The following is a 20,669-nucleotide window of genomic DNA, read 5'->3' on the forward strand; positions in this document are numbered from 1 at the left end:
CCATAAAAACCCTAGAAGAACACCTAGACAATACCATTCAGGACGTAGGCATGGGCAAGGACTTCATGACTAAAACACCAAAGCAATGGCAACAAAAGCCAACATAGACAAATGGGATCTAATTAAACTAAAGAGCTTCTGCATGACAAAAGAAACTACCATCAGAGTGAACAGGTAATCTACAGAATAGGAGAAAATTTTTGCAATCTACCTATCTGACAAAGGGCTAATATCCAGAATCTACAAAGAACTCAAACAAATTTACAAGAAAAAAAACAAACAACCCCCTCAAAAATTGGGCAAAGGATATAAACAGACACATCTCAAAAGAAGACATTTATGCAGCCAACAGACACATGAAAAATGCTCATCATCACTGGTCATAAGAGAAATGCAAATCAAAACCACAGTGAGATATCATCTCACGTCAGTTAGAATAGCAATCATTAAGAAGTCAGGAAACAATAGACGCTGGCGAGGATGTGGAAAAATAGGAAAGCTTTTACACTGGTGGTGGGAGTGTAAATTAGTTCAACCATTGTGGAAGACAGTGTGGCAATTCCTTAAGGATCAAGAACTGGAAATACCACTTGACCCAGCAATCCCATTACTGGGTACCTACCCAAAGAATTATAAATCATGGTACTATGCACACGTATGTTTATCATGCCACTATTCATAATAGCAAGACTTGGAACCAACCCAAATGTCCATCAATGATATAATGGATTAAGAATATGTGGCACATATACACCAAGGAATACTATGCAGCCATAAAAAGGATGATTTCATGTCCTTTGCAGGGACATGGATAAAGCTGGAAACCATCATTCTCAGTAACCTATCACAAGGAAAAGAAACCAAACACCTCATGTTCTCACTCATAGGTGGGAATTGAACAATGAGAACACTTGGACACAGGGTGAGGAACATCACACACTGGGGCCTGTCATGAGGTCGGGGGCAGTGGGAGGGATAGCATTAGGAGAAATACCTAATGTAAATGATGAGTTGATGGGTGCAGCAAACCAATATGGCACATATATCCCTATGTATCAAGCCTGCACGTTGTGCACTTGTACCCTAGAACTTAAAGTATAATAAAAAAAATTATATTTTGAGACTCATAGCAATTGCCCTCGTTCTGCAAACATTTCTAGAGGTAGCAGGCCAGTGGTGCTCACAGCAGTGTCTAGCATGCAGTATCTGTTCTATTGTTCATGAAAATTGTCTCACATAGTCTAGCAGTGGGCAGCAGCAATTAGGTGTTGACATCATTTCCCTGAGTCTTGTTTAATAGACTCCTTAATAAATCATTTTCCTACTATTAAATATAAATTTTGCAGATATTTAGAGATAATTGGCTTATGATAATTGCAATTAAGGAACCTTGAGGACATGTTAGAAATCACAAAGTTTAGGATATTTTGCAAATGTTATGCTTCCAATAGCTAGGTTACCCTAAAACCTCTCTTACAAAGTATGCTTCCCAAGATGTTCCCAGGGGTCACAGGACTAGTCAATGCCAGTAAGTACAGGACAGATTTCACACTCAGTACAAGTACCTGATATTTGAGGAAACTAAAGATGCCAGAACACCCTAGCAGAACCCTCTCCCCAGTGAATCACACAATTGTATAATCTACCTCCACAGAGAACAAGCGGAACCTAGACTTGCTTCTAATCCATATGATATGTCATAGGTTATGAGATGTCTTTCCAATGATTGTATTCGATAAGCCTCTGTCATAGCAGACTGGAAAGAGACACTCTCTGAAACCTTCTGCTGACCATGAACAAGCAACCAGCCATGTGGGCATTGCCTGTGTGAGCATCACATGGCAGGGAATTGTCCACAGCCTCTTGGAACTAAGAGCAACCTTGAGCCAAGAGCCAGTTAGAAATTGAAGCTCTGAGTCATAGAAATGCTAAGGAATGAGCTCTGCAACTACCTGAAAGAGCTCTAAAGTATCTATGTTCTCAGGGGACTCACAGGTGAGAATGAAGCCCAATCTACACTGTGGCACATTCTTGTGAAATCCAATGGCCAGGACCCGACAAAGCCATGTGCCGACTGCTGACTCAGAAATTGAGAGATGATAAATGGGTGTAGTCTTAAGCTGATAAATTTGTGGTAATTTGTTACATGGCCATAACAAACTTAGCACACATTTTAAGAACAAATAGTAGACCGAAGAGCAGCCATGCCACTGACATTGACTGTAGATGGGCACAGTCTTATTCTCATTGTGACCTTAGGGTTTCCAAGCACTGTGAGAGAGAGGAAAGCTTCGATGTGCAAGCCCTTTCCAAGACTCCACTTGTGTCACATCTGCTATTATCCTATTGGCCTGAGCAAGACACATGGGCAACACCTGCATCCATTTAGAATGAGGCCAACCAAAGGATGAGTACAGGGAAGGGATTTATTGTGGCTAATTGTGCAAGTAGTTTATCCATAAATTTTTTATCATTATTTGCTGAGAAATACCCTGACAAAAAGAAACCTCTTTAAAAGGCTTAAAGGTTTTAGGTTGTAGGTTCATTCATTGTAGCGTTCTGCTTTATATCCAAGTATAAATAATTGAGAACTCCTTCAAATTGTTATTTCCATGATGGTTTATTTTCCCCATACCTTTATAGGTAATTTTGGTCCTGCAATGTGCTAGCCAAGTTTAATGTGCAGAGCTGACCATTTGCACAATGTGACTGACATGCCACTGCACCTTGAATGTGGACCTTGACTTGTGGTGATCTATGAGAATCTGCTTCTCAAAAGAATGTATTTGTCACCCCTTTGATCTTTATCCTGTCTGAATACACACACTTCTCTATTGTTCCATGGCTAATCTGTATGTTGTCTCTATTAACTCACTCTTGCCATAAGTGACTAAGAGCACCTAACACAGAAATAATAAATACAACCAGTTCTGAAAATTAAAATTAGTTAAATAGCATAGGGACATTATAGAAAAAAATGTATAACTATCTTAAGTATAAAGAAAATGAAGTCTTCGTATTTTGCAAAGAAGCTGTGTGAACGCTGTGTCTGCAGGTTTCAGCCCCAGGGTGGGCCCCTGCCTTTCCTGTGACTGAGCATATTGCCTTTCTCATACCTGCAGTCATCCAGTGAAGTGACAGGATGGGCTGAGCTGAGCTGTACTGTTGGGCCACCCTGGGGAGATCTTGGTTATATAAGATGCATTTCAGAGGATAACAATAACTGCTAACAGCAATAAATGACAGCAGTTCAGCTTTGTTCATGTAGAATTTCTCCCAAACAACCCACAATGAATAGACTTGAACCCCAGAGTTGATCTGGGAACAAACCTAATACAGATTGGGGAATAGGACCCATCTTCCTGACCCATGTAAACCGATACCAAAAGTTGTCCAACCTGCACATCAAACCAGCTTCCAGATAGGTTAAAGAAGTCACATCAGACCATCCAGTCACAAATGAACCACAGGGTAACTGCAGACACAAGAGCGGACTCAGCAGAGATCAGTCCAGCCAGCCCAGAATGGAAGAACCACAGAGCTGACCCTCAGAATTATAAGGAGCTGTACAGTCAGCTCTCTATCCATGGGATCTGCATCCATGGATTCAACTAATCCTGGATCAAAAATATTTTGAAAAAAAAATCCACAAAATTCCAAAAAGCAAAGCTTGACTTTGCCATGTGCTGAGTAACACTTGGATGAATCTACACAAGTTAAGTCATGTGTAGACATCGTACTAGGTACTATAAGGAGGCTAGAGATGGTGTGAAATGTACGGGAGGATATGTGTAGGTTATATGCAAATATTGTGCATTTTACATAAAGGTTTTGAGTCTCCAAAAATTGGAATATCTGCAGGGTGCCCTGGAAACTATTTCCCATGGATACTGAGGGAGGACTGTACATACTCATTTTATGGCATTTTGTTTGGAGCTGGTTTGTTTTCAAAGAAGAGTTAATAATACAACCTGTTTTTGTGAACAGGAGCCAATAGAGTTAAGTGATAGTGTAGTCCCATTTATTGCAATTTTTTTGTGACTGCAAAGTCTATTTGCTTGTTTTTTAAAAAAGATAAGAATACTCTTACCTGATTATCATGGACTTTGGATGTCTTCCTTATCTCCCCAGCAAAATACAAACTATGAAGAGCAGCACACTGACTATGAAGAGCTGACTATGAAGAGCAGCACACTGCTATTCAAACTTCTCATTACTCAGAATAATCCATGTTTTACATTCAGTGGGTTGTTTTCAATGTGTATAGGTTAAGAGTGTTGATTATGTCTTGGAGAGTTTCTTATTAACTTTTCATTATTCATTCATTCAATAAAGTGTTAATTGAGCAACTATGCTGGTCCAGGAACGTATCTAGGCTGCACCCCTGAGAAAGTCAGTGTCTGACTCTCATTTACCTATATCTTTTCTGGTGAAAAAAAGGCCATGTCTAATTAAACATAAATCAACAAAAAGATTCTAGAAAAAGTTAAGGGTCATAAAGGAAAAAAATGGCAAGGGAAGAGGAAGTGGTTAATGAGGAAAAGGAGTCAGTTAGTTAGGGAGGTAGAGGCTACTTTTTCTGAGGAGGTGACTGACCTGGATGAGGAGAACAACTGACCTGAAGAGAAGTTTCTGAAGGGCACTGAGGTTCATGACAATCAAGGCGCTTAGAAGGAATACAGTATGAACGTGTGAAGGACAGAGAAAGGCACTATGAGGAGAGTGACTTAACTGAGGTAAAAAAGAGAAAGTTTGTGAGGGGGCAGGTCAGAGACATTTTCTCTCAGTGTCTTAAAGATCACCACATGTGACTGATGTGAAATTAATAAGGCCTTCATTTTCTGTTTGGGGAGCAAATGTTTTGTAGGTACAGCAGGACATTCTGGGAATTTTTTTAACCAAAGTACCCCCATGGTCATATTTATTTTTTAGCAAAGTAATGACTCGAATTGGGCTGTGAGAAGCAGAAGAGATGCTTATCTGGGCAAAGTGGATCCTGGCATTAACTAGTTTTGGGGCAGTGAAGATTGTTGGAGACATAGGCAGATGATACCATATTTTTAAATCAATGTCATTTACACTCCTTGGTGTGAGAAGAGTCAGATTAGGAGTGACCTGGCAGCTTTGGCCTTAATCTATTAGATAGATTCTGACTTACTGATGTTAAATGTATTAGCGGCCAAGAAAGTTGAGATAAAATGAAAGGAGTTTGTTATTTTTGCTCAATTCTAGATTGAGACACCAATGAACATGCAGATTAAGTGGGCAGGTTTGCAAGTGAGTGGAGTTTGAGCTCAGAGAAAAGAAAATACGCATAGGTATTCAGCAGCGCTTACAGGGTAATTTATGGTATTAAAACCACGTGTATGAATATGCATCTGCACATATTTATGCCTGTGTATGCATGTAGATAAACATATGCATATGAGTATTTTTCAGAAAATAAAAGGGATAAAACCAATAATCTCCGCTTCCACCTTATGAAACTACATAAAGAGGAGCAATTTATATCTGAAGTAGAACATGAGCAAAATAAATAATAAATATTAGGGCAGAAATCAATAAAACTGCAAACAGAAAAAGTGACACTGAACACCAGGCAGACCAAAGGCTGGTTCTTTGGAAAGAACAATATTGTATAGTTCCCATATATTTGAAAATTTGGGGGTTACATTTTCAATATTGATTTCTAGTTTGATCCCTCCATGGTCAGAGAACACATTCACTGTGATTTTAATTATTGCAAATATGTTGAGAGGTTATGTGGGCAGGATATGTCCTATCTTGGTATATGTTGTGGGCACTTGGAAGAAAAAAATGTGAACTTCTATTGTTATGGGTTGGAGTGTTCTATAAATGTCAGTTAGATCTCGTGGGTTGATGATATTGTTGAGTCCTAAATCCTTGCTGATTTTCTGTCCAGTTGTCCTATCGAAGATTAACAAGGGGTTTTGAAGTCTCCGTGTGCAATTGTTTTGTTAGTTTCTGCCACATGCACTATATCGCTCTTTTGCTTGGTGTCTACGCACTTAGAACTGCTCTGTCTTCTTTCCAAAATGACTTTCTTCATTATGTAATGTACCTTTCTGTCCCTGGTAACATTCTTTGGCTCTGTAGTCTACTTTATCTGATATTAGTATTTGCTACTGATTCTTTTTATTAATGTTTGCATAGTATACCATTTTCCTTCCTTTTATATTCAATCTACTTATACTGTTATATTTGATGTGAGTGTCTTGTAGATAACATACAGTTGGGACATTTCTTTTTATTCATCAATTGTCTTTTTCAAAGTTTCATAATTTGCATATTTAATATATTGATATTGATATATTAAAATTTAAGTCTGCACTCTACTTTTTTGCTGTATCTTTTTTTGCTTCTCTGTTTTCTTTTTGCTGCCTTCTTTTGGGTTACTTGAACATCTTTACAATTTCATTTTAATTTTGCCTAATTTTGGGGTATCTCTTTTTATAATGATTTTCAAATTGGTTGTCATAGTATTTCCTTTATATGCATAGCTTCTCACAGTATGTTGGCATCAATATATTACCATTTAAAATAAATATAGAATTTTACCTTTTTTATGTCATGTTTCCTCCCCCATTGTAAATAGATTGTTTTTTAAAAGTAATTTATCTGCATATATTAGGAAAAAAACAGTATTACAACTTTGATACAACTATCACACATGATTTAGCAATGCATTATATCCATCTATCTTCTCATTTTTGTAGCCTTTTGTCCCTAACATTATTTAATATCCTCTCTTTATCTTTAGTTTTATCTTCCTAGGGCTCATTTTGCCTATGTTTAAAGTGGATCTGTTGGCAGCAAATACTCTTAGTTTTTCTACAACTGAGGACTTCTCAATTTGTCCTTCATTTCTAAATAATAATTTTACTGGACATAGGATTTTAGGGCAGCAGATCTTTTCTTTAAATACTAGAAAATATGTCATAATTGACACCAGATGACAAGGTGGAAATATTTCCAAGAACAGAGGACAACCATGCTCTCAGTGAGGTGAAAGACATCTCTTCCCCTTGCATTAGTTTCCAATGCTGCTGTTTAAATCACCACAGTCTTATTGGCTTCACACAAATAAAATATAGTACCCCGTGTCAGAAGTCTCACTGAGCTAATGTTAAGGTGTCAGTAGGGCTGTAATCTGTCACACATGTGTGTGTGAAGAGACAACCAAGCAGGCTTTGTGTGAACAATAAAGCTTTTTAATCACCTGTGTGCAGGCTGACTGAGTCCGAATAAGGAGTCAGCAAAGGGAGATAGGGGTGGGGCAGTTTTATAGGATTTGGGCAGGGTAGTGGAAAATTACAGTTAAAGGGGGTTGTTCTCTTGTGGGCAGGGTCAGGGGTCACAAGGTGCTTTGTGGGGGAGCTCCTGAGATTCATTTTCCAGGAGAAGGAATGTCACAAGGTTAATTGATCAGTTAGAGTGGGGCAGGAACAAATCACAATGGTGGAATATCATCGGTTAAGGCAGGAATTGGCTATTTTCACTTCTTTTGTTGTTCTTCAGTTGCTTCAGGTCATCTGGATGCATACATGCAGGTCACAGGGGATATGATGGCTTAACTTGGGCTCAGAGACCTGACATTCCTATCTTCTTATATTAATAAGAAAAAACAAAATAGTGGTGAAGTGTTGGGGTGGCAAAAATTTTTGGTGGTGGTATGTAGAGAGAATGGGCATTGTTTCTTAGGGCTGCTTCGAGTGGGATTAGGGGTGGCATGGGAACATAGTGTAGAAGATATTAAACTGAAGAAAGATTTTCGGGTAAAGGGTGGTATTGTGGGGTTGTTATAAGGAGCATTTGCCATATAGAATGATTGGTGATGGCCTGGATGCGGTTTTGTATGAATTGAGAAACTAAACGGAAGACACAAGGTCTGAATAAGAGAAGGAGAAAAACAGGTATTAAAGGACTAAGAATTGGGAGGACCCAGGACATCCAATTAGAGAGTGCCCAAGGAGGTTCAGCATAATTATTTGCTTGGTTGGTGAGTTTTTGGGCTCTATCCTTGAGTTTTTTTATGTTGTCATATACCAGGCCAGATTGATTTAGGTAAAAACAATACTCTTCATTTAAAAATACACAGAGTCCTCCTTTTTCAGCGGCAAGTCAAGGCCTTGGCAGTTTTGGAGGACAACCACAGCTAAAGATTCAACCTGGGCCTGAACAACTGATAAAGTTTGTGATATGTCTGCGATGCTAGCAGAGAAGTCATTAGAAAGGCTACGGAAGGTTGTGACAGAGGTTGAAATGCCTGCTATTCCAGTTCTGAGAGCAATAGTGGAGGCAGAAAGTCCTAAACTGACAAGTAAGGGAATTAGTGGAATAACACTTTTTTATCGTGTCGGTTTCATGAGGGGAACAGGAAGCTGTTTGGTCCCATTTGCAAATTGAATCTAGGGACTTAGGAAAAGTAGTGTGCATGTGCCTGTCCAATTAGCAGATAGACACATGTAGGTAGAGAATCCACAGAGGAAGAAGAGACCTTGTGCAAGGCAATACCAGAGCTGCAAAGTGAAAAGATGAGAAGGAGTACTAAAAGAGGTGTATTGTACCCAGACTCCTAGGGATCCAGCTAGCGCGGCAGCCGTCAGAGGTTGTAATGGGGACTGATGGGGTAACCGCATAGAGGGGAAGGTTCGATTTTCATGGTGTAAGAGAAAGTGTCGAGTGTCTATGAGCAACCTTTCACTGTTATTTACGGGGCTGGGTATAAGCAAACAAGAAGAGGGCCTGGGAGGAGAGTCTGAAGAGCAAGGGGAAGGCAGCAAAGGATGGAGTGAAATACAGGGTAATGTCTTCCTAAGCAATAATAACTGCTAATGTTTTTAAGTTTGTCAGTACTGATAGAGGGCTTATCTGTAATATGGAGCTGGAAAGCCACAATTGTTTCAGTGGTATGTGTAGCTGGGCTTTGGAGATCAAGAGTGAAGGAACATCGAGAAGATGCAAGGTTACCCAGGGGAATTCCAGTGGGTATTTGCCAAGAGATACATAAAGGAGCAGCCACAAGAATAGCAGCTTGTGTTGTGAGGGGTCTAAATATGGGGGGAGTAGAGTTGATATAAGGAGAAAGGTTTTTTAAGTAAGTGCGAAGAAGGGCAGCAGCTTGCTGATGTGAAATGTCTGGGGAGGTCTTCCTGGACCTGTCTAGAAAGTAAAGAAGTTCTTCAGGAGGGTAAAGGTGAGGGCTGTTAAAGGAAGTTCGGAGATGTACGGAGACAGGAGATGTTGCCCAGTAGGTATGTAAGGCAGGGACAGCTTTGTAAGCGCAGGAAGAAAGGGAAATGCAAAGCCAGCAATTGTTCACTAAGGAGGGATTAGAAATGGCTGGGAGAGAGTGAGTGAGACTGATAGTGTAGTGGAGATAGTTGGGGAGAGGGAGAGGGTGGCATAAGAATGGGAATGAGAATAAGAGTGAGTATAAAAAAAAAGAATAGGACTTCATCATGGTGAAAATATTGGAGTGTGCCCTGCCAGCAAAGATCATCTATCCACTCCAAGAGGGAGTCAAGAGTGGTGGTTTGGCAATAGGGCCAGGAGATATCAGCTGTGATGGTTTGGAGAAACAGTGTAAACCGGCAGTATAAACAAGAGCAGGGCATTTATGAGTAGTTGAGAATGGTGAATAGGAGTATGACTAGACAGAAGATAGTAGGGATGACAAGTTTTGGGGCACAGTCCAAGTAGTGGGGGTGACTGTGTAAAGCCCTGTTGCAAAAAGTAGAGTAAGGATGAATAGACCTAATAGAATGAAGGAACATATTAGGTTCATAAGGGTTATTACTGTTTTCAGAAATGTGAGTGAGTTTAAGGGAAGTAGTGGAGAGTACTTGCAACTTCCAGGAGGAAGAGGAGAGATCAGGCTTGCTGTCCGATGGACACAGCTTTATTCCGGAATGGTGAACCCAATGGGGAGGGTCCTGCAGATGGACAGCAGTTGGGGTGCTATAGATGACTAGATAGGGTCCAGTCCATCGAGGCTGTAGAGTTTGAGGGCTCAGACCCTTAACAAGAACTGATCGTTCAGCTAGGGTGTCTTCATATGGCTGGGAATCTGGAGTAGGAAAGAGAAGATTAGCAGTCGGGCGAATTTCCTGTCTAGCCTGCTGGAGGACTGGAAGATAGTTGTCCAGAGGGCTGGTGTCTGGAACAAGGTTGGGGCCAAGCAAGAAAGTAAGTCCATATAAAAGTTTAAATGGACTGTACCCTGTAGCATCTTGAAGGCAGGCTCTACTTCTGAGAAGGGCAAGTGGTAGAAATACTGTCCAGTCCCTTTTAAGTTGGAAGCTGAGCTTGGTGAGGTGTGTTTTTAAAAGACCATTACTCCTTTCTACCTTTCCTGAAGACTGAGGATGGTAGGGGGTATGAAGTTTCCACTGAATATCAAGAGCTTGAGAGACAGCTTGGAGGATTTGACTAATAAAAGCCAAACCATTGTCAGATTGAATAGAAGTAGGGAGGCCAAATCAGGGAATTATATCTGTTAGAAGGGAAGAAATGACTGCAGTAGCCTTTTCAGAGATAGTGGGAAATGCCTCAACCCACCCAGTGAAGGTGTCAATCCAAACCAGGAGATATTTAAATTTACAGATATGGGGCATATGAGTGAAGTCAATCTGCCAATCTTGTGTTGGAGTAAATCCACGAGCCTGATGCGTAGGAAAAGGAGGAGGGCTGAGAAAGCCTTGGGGGCTGGTGGCATGGTAGACGAGCATTGAGAGGTGACTGTCTTAAGGATGGATTTCCATGAAGAGAAGGAGATGAGGGGCTGCAGGAGGCGAGCCAGAGGCTTGTATCCCACATGGAAGTGGTCATGAAGGAAAGAAAGCATGGACTGAGCTTGTGAGGCAGGAAGAATGAATTTTCCATGATTTAAGAAGCACTTTCCCTGAGTTGGAAAAGACTAGTAGAGCAGGCTTTCAAAAGAGTAGGTGGTAGTGATAGATAAGGAAGAAAAATACTGGTCCTCTGGAGTGGGAGCTGGAATATTAGCGGGTGTGGAGGCATTGGTTATTTCTTTTGCTGTCCTGTCGGCATAGGCATTTCCTTTTGCAATAAGATGAGTAGGTTTCTGGTGTCCTTTACAATGAATGACTCCAGGCTTGGCCAGCAGGAGAGCAGCCTTAAGGAGGGCCTTTATTAGGGAGGCATAGATAATGGAAGAGGTTTGTGTGGTAAGGAAGCCTCTTTTAGCCCAGATGGCAGCATGGTTATGGAAGATGTGGAAAGCATATTTGGAGTCAGTATAAATGTTAATGTGCATTCCCTTAGCGAGAGAGAGCACATGAGTTAAAGCAATCAGTTTGGCTTGTTGGGAAGTGGTGGAGGGAGGAAGAGCAGCAGTTTCAATAATAGAGATGTGGGACATGACAGCATATCCAGCTTACCTGGTGAAAATTGATTGGGTGGTCTGGATTTTGAATTCGAAGAATAGAAATACAAGGAAAGGAGGAAGATGCTATGTGTATTAGGGAAATACAGTCACGTGGTTCAGGACTTGTGTTGGTTACTAACTGAGAAGCTGGGTTGAAATCGTGCCCATGGCCAATAGTTACTGTTGGGGTTTCAATAAAAGAATAGAGCTGGAGGAGTCGAGGGGCAGACAGTAAGTGTGAAAGGTGTGAGGAGGATATTAATGCTTGAAGGTTGTGAGAACTGTAGAGGGTAAGTGGAGCATAGCTTGTGATTTTGAGGGCTTCCAGAAGTATTACAGCAGCAGCTGCTGCTGCACGCAAATATGAGGGCTGCACCAGAATTGTGAGGTCAAGTTGTTTTGATAGAAAGGCAACAGGTCGTGGGCCTGGCTCCTGTGTGAGGACTCCAGCAGCGCAGCCTTGTATTTCAGCTGTGTGTAAGGAAAAAGCATGGGACGAGTTGGGGAGTGCTAGTGTGGGAGCTGTCTCCAGGGCCTTTTTGAGAGAGCAAAAAGAACAATGGGCAAAAAACTTAGGGTCTATGGGATCAGTTAAGTTACCTCTTGTGAGCTTGTAAAGTGGTTTTGTTAGGATAGCAAAGCCTGGTATCCAGAGTCGGAAATATCCAACAATGCCTAAGAAGGAAAGGAGTTGTTGTTTTGTGGTGGGGATTCGGGTCTGGGAGATTAACTGAGCACAGTCTGCAGGAAGGGCATGTGTATGCTGATGGAGGATTATACCGAGATAGGTAACACTAGGGGAAGAAATTTGTGTCTTGGAGGGGGATACTCGGTACCCCTTTAAATAGAGATGTTGAAGAAGCAGGGTAGTGTCCTGCTGGGAAGATTGGTAAGAGGGACTGCAAAGAAGAAGATCATCAAAATATTGAATAAGATGGGAGGCAGACAGGTGAAAAGAAAGCAGATCATGAGAAAGGGCCTGGCCGAAGTAGTGTGGGCTGTTCCTGAAGCCTTGGGGCAGAACAGTCCAGGTGAGTTGTTGGGATTGGTGGGTGTCACGGTCAGTCCAAGTAAAGGCAAAAAGAGGCTGAGAGGAGGGATACAAGGGGATAGTAAAGAAGGTGTCTTTGAGGTCAATAACAAAATAGTGAGTTGTGGAAGGGGGTATTGAAGATAGGAGGGTGTAGAGGTTTGGCACTATAAGGTGGATGGGAAAGACGATTTGATTAATAAGGCAAAGATCCTGAACCAACCTGTAAGATTTGTCTGGTTCCTGGATGGGTAGGATAGGGGAGCTGTAATGTAGCAGGATGAGCCATGGACAAAACCTCTCAGACACCGAGTTGTAGAAGGAAGGGCTTTATTCAGCTGGGAGCATCGGCAAGCTACTGTCTTAAAATCGGAGCTCCTTGAGTGCACAATTTCTGTCCATTTTAAGGGCTCACAACACTAAAGATTTTACATGAAAGGGTCGTGATTGATTGAGCAATCTAGGGGTTATGTAACAGGGTCTTCATGCACTGGTAGTCAGAGTCAAACAGAACAGAACAGGGAGTTTCACAATGTTCTTCCATACAATGCTTGGAATCTATGGATAACATTGGTTGCTAAGTCATGAGTTGATTTTTAACTACTAGGTTTAGGCCAGGCAGGCCCAGGCCTGGCGCCGGGCTGCCTGTCTCTGATTTCACTTCCTTGATTTTTACTCTTAAAACAGGTACTGAGTATAAAACAATATAAAACAATATGAGAGGGTCTCTCTCTTCCCTCAGTAAGGAGAATTTGTAGGCTTTAAGAGGCCATGTTGTAACAGGTGGGTGATAACACGCTCTAGTGGTAACAGTGATTAGGTTTTAACGGGATGGTAAGGGGTGCATGATCAGTTGCCAAGGAAGGAGTAGAGGTATCCCATACTTGTGGATTAAGGCAGGGAGACACAGGGGAGGATGCAAAGGAGGCTTTGAAGTGAGGAAAAGGGTGGCAATGAGGTGTGGCTGTAGCCCAGGAATAGTCAGGGAAGTGGATAGTTTTGTTAAAACGTCTCGACCTAATAAGGAAACTGGGCAGGTAAGGATAACTAAAAAGGAGTGCATAAAAGAATGTTGTCCAAGTTCGCATCAGAGTTGGGGAGTTTTAAGAGATTTAGAAGCCTGGCCATCAATACCCACAACAGTTATGGTGGCAAGGGAAACAGGTCGTTGAAAAGAAGGTAATGTGGAGTGGGTAGACTCCACATTGATTAAGAAGGGGATGGACTTACTCTCCACTGTAAGAGTTACCCAAAGTGTCTGTGATGGTCCAGGAGGCTTCCAAGGCGATTGGGCAGCATCAGTCTTCAGCAGCTAAGCTGAGAAGATCTGGGAAGGAGTCAGTCAGAGATCCTTGGGCCAGAGTTCCAGTGGCTCTGGGAGTCGCTGCCAGGAGAGTTGGACAGTCCAATTTCCAGTGGGGTCCCGCACAGATGGGACACGGCTTAGGAGGAATCCCAGGCTGTGGGCATTCCTCGGTCCAGTGGCCAGATTTCCAGCACTTGAAGCAAGATCCCAGGGGAGGAGGTCCTGGAGGAATGCCGGGCTGCTGCGGTTTAGGCATTTTTAAATTTTGTGACCTAGTGTAAGCAAAACACTATCTGAGGCAGGTCTCAATCAATTTACAGGTTTATTTTGCCAAATATATGGCTTATGGCCTGTGACACAGCCTTAGGAGGTCCTGCAAACATATGCCTAAGGTGGTTGGATTTTACGTTGGTTTTATACACTTTAGGAGACACAGAAATTACAGGCAAAGACATAAATCAGTACATATAAGATACACATAAGTTTGTCCTGGAAAGGTGGGATAGCTTGAAGCAGGGGTTTCCAGGTCATAGGTGGATTCAAAGCTTTCCTGACTGGCAACTGGTTGAAAGAGTTAAGCTCTGCCTAAAGAGTTGAATTCATCATAAAGAAATGCTTGAGTCTAGAAAATGGGGGGTTCTTGTCATGTAGATGAATCCTATGGGTAGTAAATAAAGTAGATGGTGAATGTTGATTATCAGACCTTAGAAAAAAATGTCAGACTCTTTGGAAAAGACTTAGTAAGGGGAGAAGATTCTCTATAGAATGCAAATTTCCCCCACAACAGGTAGCTTTGCAGGGCCACTTCAGAATATGTCAAAGAAATATTTTTAGGATAAAATATTTTGATTTTCTCCAGGGCCTATTATCTGTCACATTGGAGTATGGTATCTTATTGCTAAAAAGTATCTGTTTCATCAGTCCAGAGATCTCTGTTGTAATGATAATGCTGGTCAGTTGTGTCTGAACTCCAAAGGGAGGAGAGTATAATGAGGCACATCTAAACCCACCTGCCAGTCATGGCCTAATCTAGTTTTCCAAATTTCTTTGAAGTGCTTTCTGTCAAAAGAGGAGTCCATTCAGCAGGTTGGTGACCTACAACTTAATTTTTGGTTTTAACACACAGAAAAACAAAATCACTGCACAAATTCAATCTGAAATAGATTGGTAAAGAAAAATTAAGTGCTTCCTGAATATTCCTACATGTCAAAGAAAAAGAAATTATTAGAATTCAGATGAGAAATACCCCTCATACAAAAGATTAACGATTTTTTTTTTTTTTTTACTGTCTTAGTTTGGGTCCACCTGCAATAAGGATTCCTGTTTAGGCAGCAAATTTACGCTGGGAGAAAAGGAGGAAAGTGAGGAAGGGAACAGAAGATGAATTGTAAAAGACGCATCAACAACCCACCTGACTCAGGAGAACTGAAGATCAACCACCTGTGGAAACATGGACTAAATTCCTCCGGGCTGTTCCACCTGAGAGATGAGGAAGCTTAAGTATGTATACACCTCATCCTGTCCTCACTGATTGTGAGCTGTCTCTCTTGTTCTATTTCAAGCTGCTGTAACAGATTCCTTTTCACTGAGTAATTCATAAAGAACACAAATTTATTTTCTTACACTTCTGGAGAATGGAAAATTTAAGTTCAAGGCATGGGCAGGTTAATGTCTGCTTTCTTTGCTTTCAAGATGATGCCTTGAGTTTGGGGTCCTTCAAAGGAAGGAAGGCCATGTCTTAACATGACAGACAAGCAGAAGAGAGAGAGATCTCAGCCCCACAATTGCTGTTTATACTGGCATTAATGTATTCCACTAGAGGGCACCACACTCATGATCTAAACACATCCCAGTAGGCCCCACATGGCAATACCATTACACTGAGAATTAACTTTACAACAGATGGATTCTGGAGGACACAGTGAAACCATAGCACTTTCCTAAGAGATACACATTTCAGGTCATTTGGTCAGCAATGCATGCAGGCAGAGTTCTCTGCCCAAGACTGTAAAGAACATAAGACATGTATATTGCCATTGCAAGTGAGCAGAGGTACAGCAAAGAGAAAGCCCTAGAATACAGATAGAGACTCCTATATTCATCCTGGTACAGTTAACCCTTGAATAAATTGGGTTTGAAATTTGCAGATCCACTTGTATTTTCTTCTGTGTGTGTCACCTGTAAACAAGTACTTAATAAGTAGTAAATATATTTTCTCATTTTTATAGTTTACTTAATTACATTTTTTTCTTTAGCATAGTTTATTGGAATAATAGAGTATATGATATAAATAACTTAAAAAAGTGTTAATCAACTATTTATTTTATCATTAAGGCTAGCAGTCAAAAGTAAGCTATTAGTACTTAAGTTAGAAATGCAAAAGTTCTACACAGGTTTTCATCTGCACCTGTGGTCAGTGCCCCAACCTCCACATTGTTCAGGGGTCAACTGCTCTTTCAGTCTGTAGCTGCATCTCTCTGGAACAGGATCTTGGTAGGTGAGTTGTAAGTAAAGGAATCCAGAAAATAACATCTCAAACTATGCTGCATTCATATGAGGATTACATAAAACCAAAGGCATTTAGAAAGCAGCAAATGCACAAAAAGCCTTCTCCTAAACATCGCTTATCTGCCAAAAAGCAGATTCTCCAGAAGGAAACCAATTGTCAAAAAAATTATTCCTGAGAATTTTTATATCAGGGAAGATTAACACAAAACAGGAATCAAAAATAGAAGAGACTGGGAACTGATGCTTTATCCAGACAGGCTATTACCTGTTCTTTTGAAGATGCACTTCTGTTCTCATCTATTCTCTCCAGATTGCCTACACTTCCGAATTCCGTCTTCGCTGGAAAGGAAATATGAACTACTGGATCTTATTGAGTTATTTGGGTAATCACCCTGCTATGATATCCTGCTGCACTTTAAATGAATTTTGTTTGCCTTTTCTCTTATTAATCTTCCTTTTGTCAGTTTATTTTCAGCAAACATTTAGAGGACAAATGGAGTTTTCTTCCTTTCTCCCAATATAAGCAAGTTCCCTTAAAATTCAGGCGGCTTACAAAGCAGCAAGAAGGTTTGTGCACGGGCTATGGCACTGTGATTTGGCTCCCCTACTCAGGCATCAGTAAAATTTTGTGGAGCCCTAGGCTACAGCCCACTGATGCTAATATAGTTGGATCCACTTCCCCTGCTACTGAGCTAGGCTGGGACAGTTTTGGGCACATTAGATATGTGCGATATAATGATTGCAAATCATTTCCAGTTTCATCTGTATCAAACTGCTTTCTCCATGTACATAGGCATCATCTCTGTGGATCTGTAGTAAATTGCTTGATCTTATAGTGGTAAGAACAATGGCATAACACCATTACCGAATACTGACATGTATATATAGCATCATGTCAATAAATTTTATTTTTGATTTTTTTAGAAAGGAACAATGTTAAACTCACAGAAATGTTCCAAGTATAGGACAAAGTAACCCCTTCCCTAACCGGGATCATATGAGAGTCTTTTGGAGACCTGATAATCATACCGTCTAACATTTTATTATATATTTCCTACAAACAAGAATATTCTCCTAAATAATCCCCATACACCAATGAAATACATTACTCCATCAACTCCTGAGGAATATTTCAAATCGTCAAAAAAAAACTAAAAAATGTCTCTCATAATAAAATAGTTCCCAGTAGAAACACATTCTCTGGAGACAAATTTGTGCTACCCTGGTCTTACCTGGGACACCTGGGGACACTGAACTGGTGCTGAGTTACTGAGATGAGCCAGCCCTGCAGCTGTGCCCAGCCTGCCCCATCCTCTGCTCATTTGCATATTCCCAGAACACAACCTCCTGCCCTGAAGACTTCTTAATAGGCTGGTCACACTTCTTGCAGGAGTCAGACCCACTCAGGACACAGCATGGACATGAGGGTCCCCGCTCAGCTCCTGGGGCTTCTGCTGCTCTGGCTCCCAGGTAAGGAAGGAGAACACTAGCAGTTTACTCAGCCCAGGGGGCTCAGTACAGCCTGGCTATTCAGGGAAATTCTCTTACTACATGATTAATTGTGTGGACCATTTGTGTTTATGCTTCCAATCTCAGGTGCCAGATGTGCCATCCAGTTGACCCAGTCTCCATCCTCCCTGTCTGCATCTGTAGGAGACAGAGTCACCATCACTTGCCGGGCAAGTCAGGGCATTAGCAGTGCTTTAGCCTGGTATCAGCAGAAACCAGGGAAAGCTCCTAAGCTCCTGATCTATGATGCCTCCAGTTTGGAAAGTGGGGTCCCATCAAGGTTCAGCGGCAGTGGATCTGGGACAGATTTCACTCTCACCATCAGCAGCCTGCAGCCTGAAGATTTTGCAACTTATTACTGTCAACAGTTTAATAGTTACCCTCACACAGTGTTACAAACCCGAACATAAACCCCCAGGGAAGCAGATGTGTGAGACTGGGCTGCCCCAGCTGCTTCTCCTTATGCCTCCATTGGCTGAGAGTGTTCCTCAGATGCAGCCACACTCTGATGGTGTTGGTAGAGGAGGATATGAGATCACCTCTGCATCCCAATTTCTTTTTCTTTTCTCAGCCCCAGCTGCACAGACATAACAATGCCTCTGCTGATTTAATAAAGATAGAGATCATGACACCTGAAGAGTCTAGTTTATGGCTTTGGTTAGAATTCATATAACAGAGAAGAAGCCATTATAGATATCCTAAGCAGGAATAGTCTTAATAGATAGAATTGGAGTCTAAAGTATTGAAGTCTAAATAAAATGTACAGATAAATTTAATGTTTTATTTGTTAAGAAATTTTTGCCAAATGGGGCATACAGGAAAACTCAATGGTCTTCAATATGTTGGAAGAGCAAAGAGTTTTATAAAAAGGGAAATTATTACCTATTGTTCTTTGAGAAATTTTGTTGGCTGTAGTAAGGGTTGGGAGCTGGCAAGCTCAGACTGGTAAGCAGTGGTGGTCAAACTGAATCCTAGAATTATATTAAGTTATCTCAGAAGTTGTGGGTAAATTTGCTTTCAGGTTACAATAAGCCAAAGCAGTGAAGCTTGCAGAGAATTTTGTTACTGAAATGCCAGGGATTCAGTATAGATCCTGCGGCTCACCACACAGAAAGCCAATCACTAAGACAACAAGTGTTGTCAAAGAACAGGCTTTAATCAGGTGCTGCAGCCGAGGAGACGGGACACCATTCTCAAATGTATCTCCCTGACAAAATAAATTAGGGGTTTATATAGCAGGGAAGAAATGTGGAAAACAGGAATTAGAGAGGGGTAAGGAAGATAATTTAGTCAACAGGAAGCTGGAGGTCAGTTAGGCAATCATAATGGGTGAAGGGTCTGATGTCTCACTGTCCCCATTCAGTGATATATAACTTTCAGCTCCTTGATAGTATCTAGAGGCCTGATGGTTGGTTTCCTGAAAAAAGAACTCAGATTAACAAATGTAACTACCTTGAGTTTTAAGACTGGGGGAGTCAGTTTCTATGTTTATTCAAAAAATCATAAACATTAGTTCCATGGGATAATAGGGCCTATTTCAATTGCATTCTTCAGACAATATTTTGCACCCTGAGTGGTTTTCCCTCCTGGTTTCTTGGCTCTGTTGGGTATGTCAAGAATGACCGAATTCCTATGATTAACTTTTACACTACAACCTTTCAAAGCCAAGGATATAGTAGTCAGGAAGGTTGACAGTAGAAGCAGGATTCTCTGGTACTCCCTCAGAAAATAGAATGCATCTGCCACTGAAGTATGGGCTATCTAACCATGTGGTCCTCAGTCCTGTCTGAAAGCTTAAGGGTGGGGTTGCAGCTGCTCTCAGCTTCCTATAGCATCTTTCAGGTTTTTCCCAGGCACATGTGTTGACAAGGAAGAAAACGGTGGGAATCGCCATGTTTGGGTGAATCCAGTTTCTAATGGCTATGATTTGCATAGGAAAGCTTCCCAGCCTGGCTCTAAGAGCCAGGGCTTTCTGGCTAGACAAGAAGTGTTTCTAGAGCTGCTTTAAAGGAAACAAAACCTTCCCAAGGACCCCTTTTCCTATCTGCCTAAAATAATTTCTTAAAAACTCCTATAGCACTTGGGTTCCAGAGATGAGGACATGGACATCCTTTGGGGTGGGACATTATTCATTCCACCGACCATAAACATATTCCCCAAAATTGTCCTTCTCTAAAGTAAAATTTAAAAAATCACGAAGTATTTTTATGAATCAAGGGAGGTGGACAAAATCTTAGACTCAGGTTCCTCTAACTTGTGAGTTTTATCTGTTGGGGTATGCTCACTCCACTGTCTCTAATGTAGATTTATTGATGTGTAGATAGTTTTAGAGGATTTTTAAATTTTGTGACCCAGTATAAACAAAACAGTATCTGAGACAGGTCTCAATCAAATTACAGGGTTATTCTGCCAAAGATAAGGCTTATGGCCTGTGACACAGCTTTAGAAGGTCCTGTAAACATGTGCCCAAGGTGGTTGGATTACACATTGGTTTTAAGCACTTTAGGGAAACACAGAAATACAGGGAAAGACATAAATCAATACATATAAGATATACATTAGTTTGTCCTGGAAAGGTGGGATAGCTTGAAGCAGGGGCTTCCAGGTCATAGGTGGATTCAAAGCTTTCCTTACTGGCTACTGGTTGAAAGAGTTAAGGTCTGTCTAAAGAGTTGAATTCATCATAAAGAAATGCTTGAGTGTAGAAAAGGGGATGTGGAAGCCAAGGTTCTTGTCATGTAGATGAATCCTATCAGTAGCAGATAAAGTACACGGTGAATGTTGCTTATCAGAGCTTTAAAAAATGTCAGACTTTAAAAAAGACTTAGTAAGGGGAGGAGATTCTCTATAGAATGAAAATTTCCCCCACAACTGGCAGCTTTGCAGAACCACTTCAGAATATGATG

The 20,669-nt window shown here is 41.1% G+C and overlaps 1 gene segment (V, D, J or C) and 1 further gene, besides 2 other annotated features; both read left to right on the plus strand.

Moving 5' to 3' along the window:
• The window catches only part of IGK (immunoglobulin kappa locus), a 1,378,008-nt gene that overhangs the window by 1,279,068 nt on the left and 78,271 nt on the right, over nt 1-20,669 (plus strand).
• Nucleotides 17,670-17,724: a sequence feature (IGKV1D-13 leader sequence).
• IGKV1D-13 (immunoglobulin kappa variable 1D-13) lies at nt 17,670-18,146 on the plus strand. The segment is given in 2 exon segments: nt 17,670-17,724; nt 17,851-18,146. Coding segments are annotated over 2 exon segments (351 nt in total).
• Nucleotides 17,851-17,861: a sequence feature (IGKV1D-13 leader sequence).

Source organism: Homo sapiens, chromosome 2, assembly GCF_000001405.40.
Source record: "Homo sapiens chromosome 2, GRCh38.p14 Primary Assembly".
Taxonomy (NCBI): Eukaryota; Metazoa; Chordata; class Mammalia; order Primates; family Hominidae; genus Homo; species Homo sapiens.